This window comes from Homo sapiens, chromosome 13 (assembly GCF_000001405.40).
Source record: "Homo sapiens chromosome 13, GRCh38.p14 Primary Assembly".
Taxonomy (NCBI): Eukaryota; Metazoa; Chordata; class Mammalia; order Primates; family Hominidae; genus Homo; species Homo sapiens.
The window spans coordinates 42,957,061-42,976,554 of record NC_000013.11 but is presented as its reverse complement, the minus strand read 5'-3'; the positions used below and the strand labels follow the sequence as shown (position 1 = coordinate 42,976,554).

At 41.7% G+C, this 19,494-nt stretch overlaps 1 protein-coding gene and 1 long non-coding RNA gene across 15 annotated transcripts in view; one reads left to right on the top strand and one right to left on the bottom strand.

Moving 5' to 3' along the window:
- The window catches only part of EPSTI1 (epithelial stromal interaction 1), a 105,854-nt gene that overhangs the window by 15,687 nt on the left and 70,673 nt on the right, over window positions 1–19,494 (top strand). For 6 of the 14 annotated variants that reach the window (NM_033255.5, XM_005266596.2, NM_001330543.2 and 3 more), the window contains 4 exons: window positions 5,885–5,943; window positions 7,378–7,461; window positions 12,416–12,489; window positions 13,217–13,300. In NM_033255.5, the coding sequence (NP_150280.1) occupies window positions 5,885–5,943; window positions 7,378–7,461; window positions 12,416–12,489; window positions 13,217–13,300 (301 nt within the window). Of the gene's footprint in view, window positions 1–432; window positions 3,788–3,809; window positions 5,781–5,883; window positions 6,929–7,377; window positions 7,462–12,415; window positions 12,490–13,216; window positions 13,301–19,494 lie in introns of those variants that run through there. The other 8 variants (NM_001331228.2, XM_011535313.2, XM_047430780.1 and 5 more) reach the window with 7 other exon arrangements.
- Window positions 15,750–18,422, bottom strand: LOC105370178 (uncharacterized). The gene is made up of 3 exons (XR_941910.3): window positions 18,358–18,422; window positions 18,156–18,281; window positions 15,750–15,816 (listed from the first exon to the last, which is right to left on the bottom strand). It is a non-coding gene; the product is annotated as an uncharacterized LOC105370178 (long non-coding RNA).

Below are 19,494 nucleotides of genomic sequence, written 5' to 3'. Positions count from 1 at the left end.
CATTTCATAAGTAAGTGGTTTTTCTGCCAATATCAATTTATTTATCATTAAGCCATTCTTAATATGAATGTTAATACTAAATATTCTCTTGCTGGAAAAGAGAGTCCCCCTAGGGCCTCAGGTACACTTACGTTTTGTTGGATGTGCCAAGACCACTCTTTAACCTATTTCTTAGAGTTATTTATTTAGCTGGGAACCTTGAGAGATAAGGTTTGTTCTCCCAGGACAAAGACCAGGCTCACTTACTATCTGCTGTAAAAATGGTGTATTCCCGAAGGATTTTATCAGCTGCAATGCAAACACACCATGTGTGCAGCATCCATCCTGTTGCGCCCATCATAAGACTGGAGGCCAGAGAGAATAGATGTAAATAAGCTGGTGCTCATGCTGCCTACTGTGCCATCAGTAATAAAGTCTTTGACTCTGATCCAGGAATTTCATGTCTTCTGCCAGTGTCTGTGAAACAGTAACAGGCTAACTTATTAGCTTGTAAGTGGAATCCAATCAAATCCCAGACCTGACATCTCTATGTTCTGAAAATATGAATTTCTGACAGTTATTTTTACTGAGGAAGTAGTTACAAGACATTTTGTAAGTATACCTACCAGTTGGTCTCCATCTCAACGATGGTCCCATCATTGGTTTTTGGCCTCTTAAAGATGGTGAGTCTCTACAATATTGTACTTCATATACACTCTTTATATCTTTAGTGTGACTCCTTCTTGCTAACTTTTTTTTGTGTGGCTTTTACTTATGTGTGTGTGTGTGTTTAAGTGAAGAAATACATCATCTCAGGTCGATTCTATATGGTTGTGCAGATTGGTGACTACACACACTTGCCCAGCTAAGGTGTGATTTGTGGCTGAGATACATACCAAACCATGTATCTTAGTGTGGGATTACCTCCACCTGAAAGAAGCAGCACTTTTTTTCTAGTTTGCATGAATTTACAATATCTCAGTAAGCCATGGGGATCCTGGGTGTGTATGCCTCTCATTTTCTTAAAGGCATCCTATAAACAAAGGCCCCGATGATTTCCTGCTTATTTATCTGTCTTTACCCACTGTGTCTGTATTCAGCCGTCTAACAGAGGCAATGAGTTGTGCTGATGAAAGAACTAATCAATTACACATCAGCTTCTTGGGTGTGCAGACAGTATCTTAGCCTCTGTAGTTTCTGAGGCCAAAGACAATTCATAAATGTTTCCACACTGGAGATGTGGAATACTTGATCAGGGGTGGTATAATATAGGCTTAGGGGTCAAGGGTAATTCGCTCGGCCTGGTCTTGTCATTTTCTATTATTCTTGGGAATTTGATCTATGTATGAACAAACTTTTGGAAACCTAAATGCCTCAAAAGTTTTGACTCAATGTTGACTGAAAACAGTAAGTTTCTGATTCTTACATTGAAGGTCATGTAACAAAAACCAATATGGAATGTCTTATCTGGAAAGATAAGTATCGAAATGCCTTTGATTATCTCTAAGTCTTTTTTTTTCAATTTATATATACCCAAGGATAAGATTTTCTTGAACTATGAAAACTTCAACTTTTTGCAGGACTGTAGACTTTACATGTCTACTATTCTGCTTGAAATTATGTTTTTCACTTAATTTTCTCTTTCCGAACTTTTGCTCTTAACTGCATTTCTTTTTCTGTCAAACCAGTGTTGCTCCTAATTACAAATTTAAATTACATCTGGTGCAGTTTGTACACACCAGGGGATATTGTTATGTAATACTTTTAGCCAGCCAAGATATTTTTGATAACTTCAACATAACATTTTTTCAGAGTACTTATTGATAAAAAGTTATAAAAATTGTGCAAGAATGTACACACAAGATGCAGTTGTGTAACTCGAGAGACCTCGCAAGGAAAACTTTTTTTTTTTTTTTTGAGACGGAGTCTTGCTCTGTCGCCCAGGCGGGAGTGCAGTGGCGCAATCTCGGCTCACTGCAAGCTCCGCCTCCCTGGTTCACGCCATTCTCCTGCCTCAGCCTCCCAAGTAGCTGGAACTATAGGCGCCCACCACCACGCCCGGCTAATTTTTTTTGTATTTTTAGTAGAGACGGGGTTTCACCGTGTTAGCCAGGATGGTCTCAATCTCCTGACCTCGTGATCCGCCCGCCCTGGCCTCCCAAAGTGCTGGGATTACAGGCGTGAGCCACCGCGCCCGGCCAGGAAAACATTTCTTTTCTTTTTCTTTTTCTTTTTTTTTGAGACAGAGTTTCACTGTTATCGGCCAGGCTGGAGTGCAGTGGCATGATCGCAGCTCACTGCAACCTCTGCCCCCTGGGATCAAGCGATTCTCCTGCCTCAGCATCCCGAGTAGCTGGGATTACAGGCGTGTGCTATCACACCCGGCTAATTTTTGTATTTTTAGTAGAGACAGGGTTTTACCATGTTGGCCAGGCTGGTCTTGAACTCCTGACCTCAAGTGATCCACCCGCCTCAGCCCCCCAAAGTGCTGAGATTACAGGCATGAGCCACCGCGCTTGGCCAAACATTTCTTGAATATCTTTTTATTTTATGTTTCTTATGGTGCAGAAAAACATTTTATCTTGTCTGTTCTTTCATATATTCTCCCTCAGTATATCTCACGGATGTGCGCTGTTGGAAAGTGAAAATAATCTTACAAATTGAGATCTTTCATTAAATTTCAATGAGGTAATTAAGGAGACTCATTTTCAAATATATATATTTATTTCAGTGGCTTGAATGTTGCTTAATCAGGAAATGACAAGAATGCGAAATGTTGGTTGTTGGGCTTGTCTAGATTAGCAACTTTGAGAGTCAGGCTGTTGGAAGAGATAGCACATAGGTTAAAACAGCAAAGGCCTTTGCTGTGGGTACAAACTAATTGGCTGAAAACATTAATAAATTATACTTGCTCTTCATGTCAAGAGAAAGCTAAGAAAGAAGGGATGAATATTTGTATCTACTAAGGCATTACACTCTGACACATGATATTAAAAAATAAAAAGCATATCCTTTGACTTAAGCTCTTCTTCTTATATTAAGAAATAGAAATAGAAGCTAAGTTCCTTACCATTTACTTGGCAATGCTTTCTTGGGACTATTATAACATGTTTCAGATTTGGCATTTTCAGTCAATAAAATATTGCTGAGAAGGTTGCTGAGCAATTCACATAAAATTTACATAAAACGTTTATTACTGGGACCACTGCCTGGGTTTATGCTAAAATGCTTTCAGTAAAAACCCTCTAAATTCAGAGCTAATTCTTTCCCTTTATTTTATGTTTCTCTATTAGGTACCTGTAAGCTACACACATTGGCCATAGATTGACTGAAGTCCTATTCTTAAGATGGAAGATTCTAGTATGATGTCGGACTTAAAAACTTAACCAGATTAGATATTGTAGAATACAATCTTTTACAAATGAGTTGATTTTTCTCTCCAAACCTTTTGCAAAATTTCCGTAAGAGAGACTCATGGACTTGGAAAATTCTCTGTGAAGCTGCTTTTGGCAAAGTCCTGGCAAAGAAACACTTTTGCTATTTCAGATCCTATTCTTTAAGCCTCAACTTACTATTCTTATTTCGTGCTATTCAGTTTTTTACTCTTCTGAGGTCTCTATGAATCTCCACTGTTTTGGATCTCTGAGTACTTACATCATTCCCACTTTAAGACTTGTTTGGGTATTCTTTTTTAATTTATTTTTTATTTATTTATTTTTGTTTTTTTCCCCATCCAGAACTCATGTTGAGTGGTTGGATATTCTCGTGGGGTGCTTTTGTGGTTTCTTGACTTGTTCCTAACTAAAGTGTAAGTTCTGTTAAAGTGATTAGTATCCCTGTTCTGGAATCTCCCCTCACTCTCTACAAGCCCCTAATACAATAAATCCATAATAAGTGCCCAGTTAAGTAGGTTGCATTGTTTGGAAGTCTATCAAGGGACTAAAGTTAAAGGATGGTCATATTTTATGCTTTGCACATTGAGTTGAAAAGTTAGCTGCAGACAGAAAACTGATCTAAGTCAAAAGTCTTAGACTGGAGTCTCATCAGTGTTGCTCAATTGACCTGGTGATCTTTGGCCTGAGATTCAACCTCTGTGTCTTTACCAGTGATTTATGAATACCTAAGTTTTCTTTTATCCCAAATGTTCTAAGATAGCTTGATTGCTCTATAGTAGTGGTTTTCCAAGTGTGGTACCTAGATCAAGAACAGCATCATCTTGGAACTTGTTAAAAATGTAAGTTATTTGACCCAGTCGCAGGCTACTGAATTAGAAACTCTCAAGCTCGCGGACAAGCCCTCCTGGTGATTATGATGCACGATAAAGGCTGAGAACTACTGATCTGGAGTATAGTCAAATTTGTGGTATAGAGAGAAGCTCTATACCACAATGTTAGCAGACATTGAAGATTGTGTAGCAATTTCATGATTGGCATTTACGTCTCGTATCTGATGTTTCAGCTTTCAGTCTCTGTAGCATGGCTCACCATTGCATCATATTCAAGTTTCCAGGGACTACCCACGGGATTGTAGCTTCCAAGCTCCTAAAAAGTACTGGCAATTCAGAAGTGAAAAATGTTTCTTAGGGTGTACAAAGAATGTGCAATGGACAAGGGATTAATTGCCAGTGGCAGTCTCCTAATTTTGTATTCATAACGTTGTATGCATGCTAGGCTACACATGCAACGTCTGCTGATATACATTAAGTAATTGGGCATCCAGCAGCCCCATTTGCATGCAAAGGCTGTTGCACACCTCACATTTACAAGTCTAAAATTAAAGCCCAGTTTGAAGCTGGCTGAAGGCTAGCTGCTAGAAAAATAATGAGATAAGGAAGGAAATGGCTTCTGTTGATCAGTGCTTTTGGCCTCTACAGTTCAATCTTTGCTAATTTGCCCTTTGAAATTGTGTATTCAGGTAGAAGAGAGAGACTTCCAAGAGTATCTGGGTGGGGTTTTTTCCCTCCCTCTTAAATCCTACAGTTAGAAGCTGGTTGTGTTTATCCACAGCATTTCTCTTAAAACTGTACCTACATGTATGCTGCAGTCTGTTGCTGTGCTATATTATTGCTTAATGGAGTATTCATGTTCTTGTGGGATCACGTGCATCATCTCAAAAAAGAGCCACCCCCACACAGACTCACAGGCTGGGTCTGTAGCATCATTTTGTTTTAATTCAGCCCACATTTATCAAGCAGCCAATGTCTTTGTGCCAGACACTGTGCCAGGGGCTTGGAATACACATCAATCAAGCACACTCTCTGCCCTCAAAAGCTCACAATATTTTAACAGCTTCCTAGTGTCACAGAGGTGAATATTTTTCTTAAAAAGTCTTCCCTGATCCGCCTGGTTGAAATGACTCCTTGCTTCTCCGAGCCCCTGATTATGCTCAACCTGTGTCCCTAGGAGAAGAAGAGACCAGTGGACATAGGCCTAGAAAAGTCAAAGCCTAAAAGCCAGTTAGTTACTCAGATCATCAAGAGGAGGTGGCTGCATTGCAAATGGCCTCTAGGATCAGTCTGTGGGAACAGAAAATGTACCAATGTTTCCTGTACCCCGGTGTGGTCACACAGAAGAGAATGCCAATCTAAAGCCATCTTAAAGGAATTTACTCACAAGCACCACCTAGAGGAACGGTGGAGCCCTACAAGGACAGTACACCAACTAGTCACTTGTCACTCATCGAATGCTTTATATTTTCATATTTGGCCATGTCCTTTGTTTTACTTTGACATCAAGATTGTGAGGTCCCAGAGAACAGATCAGGGTCTTAAGAAGATTATCTTTCATAGTGCCTATTTGATGGTAATGATCATAAATACAGTATAATAGAAGGAAAAATATCTGGTGGCTTATATGCATTGGTAGTTTCTCATGGTAATAAGCATTTTTTTTTCTCTTCCTTTTAGCACAAGTGCATACACCTTGATAGCACCAAATATAAACCGGAGAAATGAGATACAAAGAAGTATGTATAGTCATTCATTTAACATTCAGAATGCTTCTCTCTTTTTACAATTGGTTTGTTTTGGTGTGAAGTATTTTTATTTTCTCATTTATATAGACTCACCAAATCTCATCAAGGTTTTTTGTTTTTTTTAGTTTTGATTATACCTTTAAAAATATTCTACTATTAACACTTCTAAGTTTGTTTCTCTACGTTAGTAACAGAACTCATGACATGATGGTAGATCCTGGATTTCTGTTGGCTTGAACAACTTTACACTTATTGCCAATAAACCTCCTTGAGGGTAGGGACCACATCTTACTCGTTTTTGTGCTCTCTGTACTTAATGCGTACATAACATGTTTAATTGATGTACAGTAAATATAAATGCTGCCATTTAAAGTTATAGCATTATCCTTTAGAGGTGGAAGAGAACTAAAGTTCATTTAGTTCACAAAGAAATTGTAGGCTTGCTCAAGTCCAGCTGTGGGGCTATGCTGAAATTCGATGGTCTCCTTTATTACATGATTGGTAGGAAATTTAACTTCATGACTAATGATGGACAGAAAGGCACAAAAGGGAAAAAGCTCTCTAAAGAGTCTCCACCGGACATGTAGCTCCGGGTGGGACAGCGGGTCAGTGCAGAATATGACAATCACAGCCATGCAGGGACTATGGGAACTGCCAGCAGTTCTGGTATCTTACAAGCTTTTGATTTAAATACTTAATAGGAGATTAAGTCTCAATGTGGTCTGGATTTCGAAATGTTTCAGAATTTGTTTTTCTAGTAATGGACATTTGAAACAGGTCTCATGAGGAGATAAGGGGAGGCGCTGGAGTGACAGAACTAATTTCTCTCTGGCGCCCCCTGCTGTCGTGCAGAGTGAACATTTAGGAAATGAGCCCTGCTCCCCAGGAAGCCGACTCTGCACAGTGGTCTGGAGTGCCTGAAACCAGAGCAAGGGTCTCCACCTGTAGCACCGAGCCCTCATTCCCTAGAGTCGCAGTAAGCTTGGGAGCATTGAAGATAAAGCGAGTATGGGCATCAGAATTCTCTGGGGATATGTTTACCTATGTGTGGAAAGTTCTTATTGACGTGAAAATATTCTAGTTTTGCACACATTTTCTATAGGTAACTTTAAAAATTAACTTGATATAGAGTTTTAAAAATGCCAGAATGGTAGGAAAATCTATACTTCTTTTAGTAGGAGCCCAGGTGGTTTTTCAAATTCGAACCCTCTGTGCTGACTCTTGGTGAGAATGTGCCACAGGGCCGGGCCCAGGATGACCTGTACGGGTCAGGGCTGAATATTGTGTTTCTAACCTGGAAGCCTTGTTCACTCATGCTCACATATAGTTAATTGCCTTCTAATAGTTGTTTCTTATGCTTTGAAGGGACTGGTTTTCTTTTAGAAGTCTAATAATTGACGATTTGATATTTCTCGCCTGGCTTAGTTGCGGAGCAGGAGCTGGCCAACCTGGAGAAGTGGAAGGAGCAGAACAGAGCTAAACCGGTTCACCTGGTGCCCAGACGGCTAGGTAAGCAAGCACAGCCGCTGCCGGAATGAGGGAGGGCGGGGCCACCTATGGATCCTGTAAGCAGCTTGCATATGTCTGTCTGTGAATGTCCATTGTAGTTTGTTTGGTCATTGTGCTGCTTGGGTGGAATGCATTTAATTGTGTGTGTGTGTGTGTGTGTGTGTGTGTGTGTATTTTTTTTTTTTTCTGATTTTCTGCAAGTAGCAAACCTGTAATGCCAGAGTTCTATGGGAACACAGTGATGGCTTAATTGCCAAATAATTTAGAGCCTCTTAGATGATTGACTCTGAAAAAGCTTACCTGGGGCGCTGCATATGCCCTGTCATAGCACTAGTCAGGATGGGAGTAAATGCTGGCACAAGCATATTAATCATGGCAGTTAAATGTTAATCTGAAGAAAAGGAGTGGAGAGTCAGTTCCAAGAGGGAGATGAGAGTGAGCTGGAAACCCGGTGGTGGGTATAAGAGAAACATCACCTGTGTTTTTATTCTACAGATAGAGACCTCTGGGCCTCTGGAGCAGGTGCTGCCAGTGTGATGAATTGTCTGGGCCGCCTTTGCCGGTGTTTGAATCATTCAGAAGGGATGCCACCTAATGGGAATCATTCACATCTTTTCTTTGCTTTTTCTCTTCTATCAGCAGCCGAAAATTTAAAGGGTTGGACACACAGTGTCCACAGATTTAGTTAATACAAGCATGTCTTGTGTCAGGGGCCACTTACGGTTGTGATAGTTTTAGAGAAGTTCCCTCCCCACACCCTGCCCCCCCACCAAGAACATAGGTAAAAATAATCTAATTTGGAAATTATTTAATGGGAGGAAGTAATAGTAATATTATCATCATCCCACTGTATTTCGTGAAAAGGGCTAATCTCAAGTGCCTCCTTTGTGCAAATGAGCCAGACTCGAAGGGTACAATCAGAAAACAGCTTTAATCTTTCCTAGCTTGGCCCCTGAGATTGGCTATGTGAGAACAGTCTTTCTCAGGCTTTTTGGATGATGTAAGAAATTAAAGCTTTTTGGTCTCTTTCAAACAGTAGAGTGACCTAGCTAATTCTAGGCCTAAAACAGTCTCATTTCAGTAATTAATGTTCAGTCTTAGGTACTGATCAAAATTCTGTTACTAATGGAGATGAGAGCTTCTCCCCTGCTCTAACCCAGGCCTGTTTCAGGTAGGAATCCAGCAAGTAGAACAGGGTGTGGCTGGACTTTTCTCTATTCATGGCTCTGTTCCCAGATTCTGACCTTTCTGGGATTGAAGGGGGAAGTGGAGGGAGATAAGAGAGTTCGGGGTTCGTAATGCAGTGATCCTTGTTTCTTTGAGCCTAGGTTTACACTGACTGCTCGTTCTTCTTCCTGGGAATCTTCGAGTTTTTCAGCATCCCCCACTCTCTGCTACCCATCTCCCACCTGGATTTCCCTGATACAGACGATTTCCTCTCCTGTCGGCAGGGCTTGGCCTCACTGTTGGCTCTTGGTAGACTCCTTTTAGGGTTCCATTGTTCTTGACATGGCCCTCATAGGCAAGTCCCTTTAGATGGCTTTAGGTTGGCATTCTCTTTCATGAGAATCACATTAAAAGTACAGGAAATACTTGTGCATTCTTTCTTTTCATAAACTGTGAATGTGGGCCATTTGTAATGTAGCTACCTCTTCTTGAGGACTCATCTCAGTGGCCAATGGACAACAGCCTTATACCTTTAGGCTCTAACTGTTCTAGGCATGAATCCAATAAGACCCTCAGACTCTTAAAAATGCAGGTTGAGGTCTCCAGCTGATTTTCTTTTTTTTTTTTTTTTTTTTTTAATTTATTTTTTTATTGATAATTCTTGGGTGTTTCTCACAGAGGGGGATTTGGCAGGGTCATGGGACAATAGTGGAGGGAAGGTCAGCAGATAAACAAGTGAACAAAGGTCTCTGGTTTTCCTAGGCAGAGGACCCTGCGGCCTTCCGCAGTGTTTGTGTCCCTGATTACTTGAGATTAGGGATTGGTGATGACTCTTAACGAGCATGCTGCCTTCAAGCATCTGTTTAACAAAGCACATCTTGCACCGCCCTTAATCCATTTAACCCTGAGTGGACACAGCACATGTTTCAGGGAGCACAGGGTTGGGGGTAAGGTCACAGATCAACAGGATTCCCAAGGCAGAGGAATTTTTCTTAGTGCAGAACAAAATGAAAAGTCTCCCATGTCTACTTCTTTCTACACAGACACGGCAACCATCCGATTTCTCAATCTTTTCCCCACCTTTCCCGCCTTTCTATTCCACAAAGCCGCCATTGTCATCCTGGCCCGTTCTCAATGAGCTGTTGGGCACACCTCCCAGACGGGGTGGTGGCCGGGCGGAGGCGCCCCTCACCTCCCGGACGGGGCGGCTGGCCGGGCGGGGGGCTGACCCCCCCACCTCCCTCCCGGCCGGGGTGGCTGCCGGGCGGAGACGCTCCTTACTTCCCAGATGGGGTGGCTGCCGGGCGGAGAGGCTCCTCACTTCTCAGACGGGGCAGCTGCCGGGCGGAGGGGCTCCTCACTTCTCAGACGGGGCGGTTGCCAGGCAGAGGGTCTCCTCACTTCTCAGACGGGGCGGCCGGGCAGAGACGCTCCTCACCTCCCAGACGGGGTCTCGGCCGGGCAGAGGCGCTCCTCACATCCCAGATGGGGCGGCGGGGCAGAGGCGCTCCCCACATTTCAGACGATGGGCGGCCGGGCAGAGACGCTCCTCACTTCCTAAATGTGATGGCGGCTGGGAAGAGGCGCTCCTCACTTCCTAGATGGGATGGCGGCCGGGCGGAGATGCTCCTCACTTTCCAGACTGGGCAGCCAGGCAGAGGGGCTCCTCACATCCCAGACGATGGGCGGCCAGGCAGAGACACTCCTCACTTCCCAGACGGGGTGGCGGCCGGGCAGAGGCTGCAATCTCGGCACTTTGGGAGGCCAAGGCAGGCGGCTGGGAGGCGTAGGTTGTAGCGAGCCGAGATCACGCCACTGCACTCCAGCCTGGGCACCATTGAGCACTGAGTGAACGAGACTCCGTCTGCAATCCCGGCACCTCGGGAGGCCGAGGTTGGCGGATCACTCGCGGTTAGGGGCTGGAGACCGGCCCGGCCAACACAGCGAAACCCCGTCTCCACCAAAACCAGTCAGGCGTGGCGGCGCGTGCCTGCAATTGCAGGCATTCGGCAGACTGAGGCAGGAGAATCAGGCAGGGAGGTTGCAGTGAGCCGAGATGGCAGCAGTACAGTCCAGCTTCGGCTCCGCATGAGAGGGAGACCGTGGGGAGAGGGAGACGAGGGAGAGGGAGAGGGAGAGGGAGAGGGAGAGGGAGAGGAGGGAGAGGGAGAGGGAGACGAGGGAGAGGGAGACGAGGGAGAGGGAGAGGGAGAGGGAGAGGGAGAGGGAGAGGGAGAGGGAGAGGGACAGGGACTCCAGCTGATTTTCATTAAACTTCTCCTGCTCATCTGGTGTGAAGATTTCTCCTTCCTCAAAACACAGAAGACATAGAATTCAGAATGACATCTTTCCTCAGATTTCTGCCTCCCTTTGACCTAACCAACCTCTTTTATAGGCTGAAGTTAGTTAAGGTTCCCCAAGGTAGGTTTCAGTTACCTCCTTGCAGATCCTGCTTTGAGGGGCCATTACCTCCCTTTGGAATTTGAAGCGCTCGGCATCTGTTGTCTTGAAGCCTTAGCAGAAAATGAGCAGGATTCTCATTTTGACTTCCTGTTATATGCATTATCTAGGGTTAGTCAGGTATGTGTGTGTGGGAGGGACTTGGGGGTAGAAAAGAAAATTCTAGAATGTATTAAACTTTGAGATGAGTTTTGAACAAAACTTGTAAATGCTTAGACATCTGGCTCTCTCCATTTCTTCTAATTTTCAACTCCTCCTCTATTTCTCTACCCCTTACAATATTGGAATGGTTGCAGGAGATACTAAAAGTTGCTGTAACATTAGAGAAAAATGTCAACATTCCTTACTGTTTTGAAAGAAACATCCCCCATCCCCCACAATAGCAGTCAAAGGGCCAACACCAAACAGGCCTTATATATCTTTCAGATCTCAGAAGAAAAGTCCCTATGGTATCTTTCTCAGTTCAATTATAAGATTTATAGTGAACACAAATTGTTTTAATGCATCTTCTGTGAGAGTGAATCTTTCAGAGAGCTGACACTTTTAGTGACCAAAGCACCAGAGAATTATTTCAAAGGAATCTTTATAATACGCACACCAAGCTTGCATAAACACTGAGAATTCCCTAAATGGTAATTCTTAGATGATTGTCAAGCTGCCAGGATTTCTGGCCCCAAATTCTTTTAGGTTTAAGAGAGAGCAAGTAAATAATCTAACATCCATATTTTTATTTTGACTATATAAGGAAAGAACAATAAATAGTATGGATTGATGATCAGTTACTAACTAGAATATTCCCATTGTATTTTTAGAAACTGGGTTATAAAGACTACATGCTTGTCTAGTGGCAAGACCTCTGAGAGCCTCCTGAGCCTTGCTGCTTGAATATAAGGCAATAGAGTTAGAAGAAGAAAAGCAATAGAAGCACCTTTGATCACCATCTTTACTAGGTTCGGGCATGGTCATATTCAAGCAGGAGGAATATTCTACAGTTTCCAAGACAGGCACTATTTCTTCTGTTTAGCACAGACCTTTAGGTATGATTTCAATCCAAGTGAAAACTTTAATACCTACATGATTGAAAAACCTTAGTAAAAGTGCTCTTTTGTTTTAAAAATATGGTCTCCTCTTTCTATCCAGCTCTTTCTTCTAAGTGATTCCCCTTCTTTAAGGTCTTCTTGGAAAACTGGTTATGTTCTTATTTGCAAGAGCATGAGAATGTTAAGGGAACTCATGTTATAGATTTATTATATATTAATTAGTCCTCGATGGCTGACATTTCAGCTTAATATTTATGTTTCACCTTCATGGATTTTTTTTTCCTAAGGTGGAAGCCAGTCAGAAACTGAAGTCAGACAGAAACAACAACTCCAGCTGATGCAATCTAAATACAAGCAAAAGGTCAGAATTCATCTCTTTTAGTTGAATTTTGGTAAGGAATATGAGTACCAGCTCTTACAAGTAACTGTGAAATAACACAGTAACTTTACCAAAAGTATAAAACCTTCCAACCAGTTGCAAAAGGCAGCTTTCAGAATCAAAGCTCTCAGGAAGTGAGAAGTGAAGAGATGGATACCTTCAATTCCTACCTAAGCCCTTTATCACTCAGCATGACCCTCGATTAAGGGAATTATTTTTTTCATTTAAGTTAACTATGTTTAACTATAGTTTAAAGTCTACTATGTTTGGAATGTTTTGGTTCTAAGAATATGGATTTGTTTACTGCATGGCAGTCATGGAAGTAGTACAAAAAATATTTAAGATTCCCAGCGATTTTTACAATGAACACTGAGTTTTGTAATCAGGAAAAATTATTTTCCCTTTTCCCTCCCCAATACACACACACACCACACACACATACACACAGAGAGAGACAGAGATAGACAAAGACAGAGACGTTGAAAAAGAGACAGACCAAGGAAGAAACACAAAGACAGAAATTTCACGGGCAGAAGACGTAGCCCGGCCATTCTCTGTGATCTAAGTAGCTTGAAGTAACAACCTATAATCATGGTGAGGTATAGCACAAACAATACTGTAATTTGCCTTTCATCATAATTTTGTGTTCCAGAGTTCAGACTGAAAAATGGTAACTGTTTTTGTTCTCTGTAATTTCAATACAATTTAGCTAAAAAGAGAAGAATCTGTAAGAATCAAGAAGGAAGCTGAAGAAGCTGAACTCCAAAAAATGAAGGCAATTCAGAGAGAGAAGGTAAGGAGGAGGAGGATTAGTTCACATTTGCTGATCAACAATTATAGTTTCGTTGTAGAAGATTTTTATTATAGTAACTTTAAAAATTTATCCATCTTTCTCTCTCTCTCTCTTTCTATTCCCCACTCTTCTTTTCCTCATCCAGTTTTTTTCCTTCCATTTTATCCTTCAAAGGAAGATTCATGCTTAGGTCTTGTGATTCTAGAGGAGGCACTCTCTTTACGGAGCATAGCCTGTATTTCAGGTAGAACAAAGACAATTGTTAAGTCATCACCAGGAACAGGGTGAAGAGGCTTGCAGACCCTTAATAATTATTGTATTGCAACCTCTTGTCCTAAAGATCATTTATTCGTTGTCATTTAATACCCATCATTGGCTGGCGTGTGGGTCATTTACAGCTAATTTCTTCATGGGTCAATAATGTACGCTATTCATAAATGTTTGTGGTTGAAACTGTTTCCTTTCTTTTTTTTTTGAGACGGGGTCTCACTCTGTTGCACAGGCTGGAGTGCAGTGGTGTGATCACAGCTCACTGCAGCCTCAGTCTCCTGGGGTCAGGCAGTCCTCCCACCTCAGCCTCCTGAGTAGCTGGGACTACAGGTTAACACCACTATAGCTATTTTTTTTTTTTTTTTGTATTTTTTGTAGAGACAGGGAGGGTTTCACCATGTTGCCAAGGCTGGTCTCGAACTCTTGGGCTCAAGGGATCCACCTGCCTTGGCCTCCCAAAGTGCTGGGATTACAGGAATGAGCCACCATGCCTGGCCTAAACTGTTTAAACATTGTCTAAAAGTAGTGTTTTTCCCTTTCCTAATATGATAACTGTAATTCTGTTGGCATAAATTTGCCAGGATGTGAGAGATGGGGAGAGAGAGTTGATCTGTAGACCCTTCCCATTGAAAATATGGCCCTTGAACAAGCACCATTGGCATCATCTGGGAGTTTGTTAGAAGAGCAGAATCTTGAGCCCTACCTCAGACCTACCGAATCAGAATCTGCATTTTAACAAGCTCCCCAGGTAATTCCTGTGCACATAAAAGCTCGAGGAGCATAAATTTAAATGACCTTGCAAAAGAAGGGGTGACCCATCCTTGTTCTTCCACAGATGTGATTTCTCTGGCTGATTGGCCTGCACTGTCACCATGATCCTAGCCTTCCCTGTTGTAGATAAATCTGTAGCTTTTCATGTTAAATGTGAGCCTAGTTAGTAGCTTGTGTCAGATAAGAAAAATGAACATTAGCCATCTAGAAATGACATATTTCACATTGCCAGTGTGGAAATGGCCGAGGGAAGTGATAATGGCTGTGCTTATGGAGCACTTATATTTTAAAATGCACAGCAAACACACACATGGACATCAGCCTGCAAACACGCTGCCCTCCTCCCCAGGCAAATGGCTGCTGCCCAGTAAACTCTGAGCCAAGTAGAATCCAAGCAGCCTATTGCCACCCAAGAGCCTCTAGCCTTGTCTCTGGTCTTCCCCCACTGGCTGCTGGTCCCCTTCTGCCCTTCATTTCCTTCTCTCCCAAAAGAAGTCAGGGGACACTGGGTCTCATTCTGATTGGTCGTCATCTCTGTGTGCAGCATTTAGTGAGGGAAGAATAGACTGGATTCCTTGCCAGCATTTGTGCATGTTCTTTGATCCTTAATAGACAGACAGGTGTGAAAGTCAACCAGCTCTTTAGTATCCAGTCATGTCAGTGGGGCCCAGGAAGAGTTAATCCTATGGGTACAAAGGGAAATTTGGAGACAGCACTGGTATACTTGAGTTGTATTCAGTTCAGGAATGTAACTTGCATTCCCTAGACTAGAGTCTGTCACAGTATATATACTTCTAGTGATGTTCTGTAGCTTCCTTGTACTGCCTTGTACTGTGGGAATTGTCACATTTTCAGGATTTTTTTGAGCTACTTGGCTTCATCATTGTCAGTTTGAAACCGACTGTGGTGGAAAATATTTACGATGTGGAAATCAGTAAATGCTACAGATTAATTTCCCCTCCTGCTCCTACCTGCTAGACCTGATTAAATGTTGACCAGCACACCACTGCTTAGCACTAAATGAAAAAGGTATTTTCTTACCCTCCCCTACCACCCATATTCTAAAGCCAAACCTCAGAGGGCTAGGGAGAGTAAAGATTTGGGGAAATAGCTGGCCTATTGTGTGTATGATATTTATTGATTTAAAAATAGATTATAATTCATGTAGTGGGCAGAATAATGCTCCACCCCAAGATGTCCACGTTTTATCCCTGGAACCTAGGAACATGTTTCCTTACATGGGTAAGGGGATTAAGGTCACAGGTGGAATTAGGGTTGCTAATCAACTGACCTTAAAATAGAGAGCGTATCCTGCAATATCCAGGTGCCCAATATAATCACAGAGGTCCTTAAAATTGGGAGAGGGAGATAGAGAATGAAGAGATGATACCAGGAGAAAGACTCAGCCCACCACTGCTGGCTTTGAAGATGTAGGAAGGGGCCATTAGCCCAGGAATGTGGGTAGCCTCTAGAAGCTGGAAAAGACCAGGAAACTGATTATTTCCCTTTGAGCCTCCAGAAGGAACACAGCCTTTCTGGCACCTTGATTTTAGCCCATTGATACCCGTTTTGTACTTCTGACCTCCAGAGCTGTAAGATAATAAATTTGTATTGTTTTAAGCTGTTAACTTTGTGGTAATTTATTATACCAGCAATAGGAAACTAATACTACTCATGTGGTTTTATAATGATGCATTAATTTCTTTTCCAAGAAATCTATAAAGCAGAGACAACGTCTCTAAGACATTAGAGCATTAGAGTAAAAAAGCAGTCTACCAGATGCAAGTGTTTTGCCACTGGTTCTTTCAGTATAAATAGACAGGTTTTCCTAACTCCCCACAGCAAGCATTTCACCCAAATTTAGTGCTATGGGAGTAAATCACATTTTCCCCCCATAATCACATGATAAATAATAATTTTATTTTCCCAGACTTTCATAATACCCACAAACCTAAAATATGAAAATCTTCTAACTCCATTTTAAAGACTCTCTCAATTTCCTGGGTTCATCTTATTCTGCCTTCGATCTACATATGTTTGAGATAATATACGGTATTATATAGTTTCCAGATACAGCCATCCTTTAGATATGGGAGATTGGTTGCTGCCTCCCCCTCCCCCCACAACACAATGGATACCAAAATCCTATATAAAATGGAGTAGTATTTGCAATAGCATATGTACATCCTTTGTATGCTTTAAGTCATCTCTAGATTATTTATAATACCTAATATGATGTAAATGTTGTGTAAATAGTTGTTATACTATATTGTTTAGGGAATAATGACAAGAAAATAGTCTTACATATTCAGTATAGATGCAACCGTCTATTCCTCATCCCCTGAATATTTTCCATCGGAAGTTGGTTGAGTCAGCAGATATGGAACTCACAGATAAGGAGGACCAACTATACTTCATTTGATTCCCCAACCTCTTGGTATCATAACCTCAGAGAATTCAGGAAACCAGCTAAAGATCTGAGTGGCTTCCAACACCTTTCCTTGCTCTTTCCAGTAAGCCATGGCTGTGAAAGTCATTTGAAGCACTGGAAGTCACAGTGTTTCATGCAGACACTGAGAAGCACAGTTAGTTTTAATGCTATACGGTGAAGTAGGAACTAACTGGTAGAAAATAAGTTATGCATATTAGATGCAGAGCTGCATACAGGTACATGTTAAGGGATCACACTTGTTGCTTTCTTATTTCTAGGAAGCAAGTAGTAGCAAGGGCTAACAGTTTAAGAACAATTTTAGGGGTAAACTCAACATTGAGGAAGTTATTTCAATGTTGTTTATATAAATTGGGAAACATTTCCATTTCTGAAAACTTTCAGGGAACATCAGTGTTTCCAAGAAATGTGGCTCCTACATCATGCATTTCTTTGTGGATGACTTGGTGGAAGCATTAAGCCTTTGGTTATTGAAATGTAATAGGATCTCGCTAATTAACCCCATAATGTGGTAATGTTAGTATCTCTAAAATAAACATGTGGTACTAAGAGTGTAGGCTGATAGCTTTTCTGTGCTTCACTTACCTTATTTGTAAAATGGGTATAATAATGTAATAGTGAGACTGGTAGGACTAGAGGATGCAATATATACACAGCCCTTAGTACAATACCTAGCACTTGGTAAGCACTCAGTAAAGTACCCTAACCTAATTATAAATGTAAAGAAGTGCTTTAACACTATCTCGTTGGAATCTATTATATCAACCTCTTGGAAGGGGGGCGTAGAGAGTATTATTATTTTTATGCATGAATTGGATGGGTTCAATTATTTCATTTCTACTAAACCCACATGAATGAAGTTGCTGGAGAGAAAAACATATGTGACTTTTGTTTTTTCTTTTGCCACACTACATTTCTGAGATTTGATCTCAGCTGGGTCTTTCACAATGCCCAATGCCCAGCATTTTTTTTCTTTGCATTGTAACTGGGAACCAAACCCAATTACCAAAATCCTTGCTGGCTTTATGTTCTTATGCTCTCCTTTCATTTGCAGCACGTGACCTTGTCTCTCACTTCATAGGAAATAAAGGTTGCCAGCCTTAAGTATCTTTATTTTTCTCTTTTCTTACTCTCCCTTTGCTGCACCTACCCCCATCCTATCTCAGGAGGAATCAGAAAGTCCTTTTCCTCATTGGTACCATGGATTCTTCCATATGTGTTCACCATTTCATCTTCCCTCCGGTCTCCCCAGGGACCTTGCTTCTCTATCAGTTAAGCTCCCTTTCTCCTCTCACTTTCTTGTTTTGTTGTTTGTTTTGTTTTTGTTTTTCTTTCTCAGGATTTAATCTTACTCAAATCTCTCACCTTAAAAACAAATTTTCCATATAGTGGTCTGCTTTCAACTCCTCTGTCCCAAGCATTATGGTTCGAACTTCTTGAAAGACTCCTCTACCATATTTGGTTCCCAAATGTCAGTCTGTGGACAATCACCTGAACCAAAGAATCTCTATTTAAAAAAAAAAATGTTCCCCAGGAGATGTGTGGATCAGCTAGCTTAAGAACTTACCTTCTCTGATTCCTTTCCTTCTCTGATTCCTCATTTGTTGGTGGGCTGAATTTGGCTTTTGTTTCTAATGCTTCTCTGGTTCTAATCTACCTAAGATCACCAACGGTGTTCTTAACTGAAAAATCCAGCTGGGCGGAGTGATTCATGCCTGTAATCCCAGGACACTGGGAGGCCAAGAAGGAAAGATTGCTTGAGCCCAGGGCTTTGAGACCAGTCTGGGCAAGATGGTGAAACCCCAGCTCTTAAAAAGAAAGAAAGAAAAGATCCCAGTAAAGATTCTTAAATTCCTCACTTATTTTTGCTCTGTGTAAAATTAAATATTAAGGCTGGGTATGGTGGCTCATGCCTGCAATCCCAGCACTTTGGGAGCTAAGGCGGGCCAATTGCTTGATCCCAGGAGTTCAAGAGCAGCCTGGGAAACATGGTGAGACCCCATCTCTACAAAAACACATATATTAGCCAGGTGTGGTGGTACGTACCTGTAATCCCAGTTACTCAGGAGGCTGAGGCATGAGGATCACTTGAACCTGGGAGGCAGAGGTTGCAGTGAGCCCAGATGGCACCACTGCACTGCAGCCTGGGTGACAGAGCAAGACCTTGTCTCAAATAAATAAATACATAAATAAAATTAAAATTTAAAATTAACTATTAAGTACTCTGTCCTTCAAATTCCACCTCCTGAATGTCTCTGGGATCCTTTCCTTGTACTTGTTTTTCCACTATTGATGCTTACCAGATCCCATCCCGTGGTCTCCTCTGATACTGCTGGGCCTAGGCCCCCTCTCCTTAGATGAAAAATTCCACATTTAAGGATCTAGTTATTGTTTGTACTGATTTCTGCAGTCCATATCTTCAGGCCAGACCATATTTCTAAATTCCAGAACCATATATTTTGCTGCATGCTTGATATTTCTCCCTAAATATTCCACAAGTATACCTCAAATCCAATAAATTCAAAATTGAACTCATATGTTCATTCTGGTGCTCTTAAATGATAGTAATCTTAGACTCTTCCTCCTTTTCTTACTCATCCCATATCCCTATCATCATGCTTCCTATTATTTCTGTCCTTTAAGTTTTTCTGAAGACTGTCCTTTCTTCTTTCTTCCCTGTACCTGCTGACTTAACTTGGGGCTT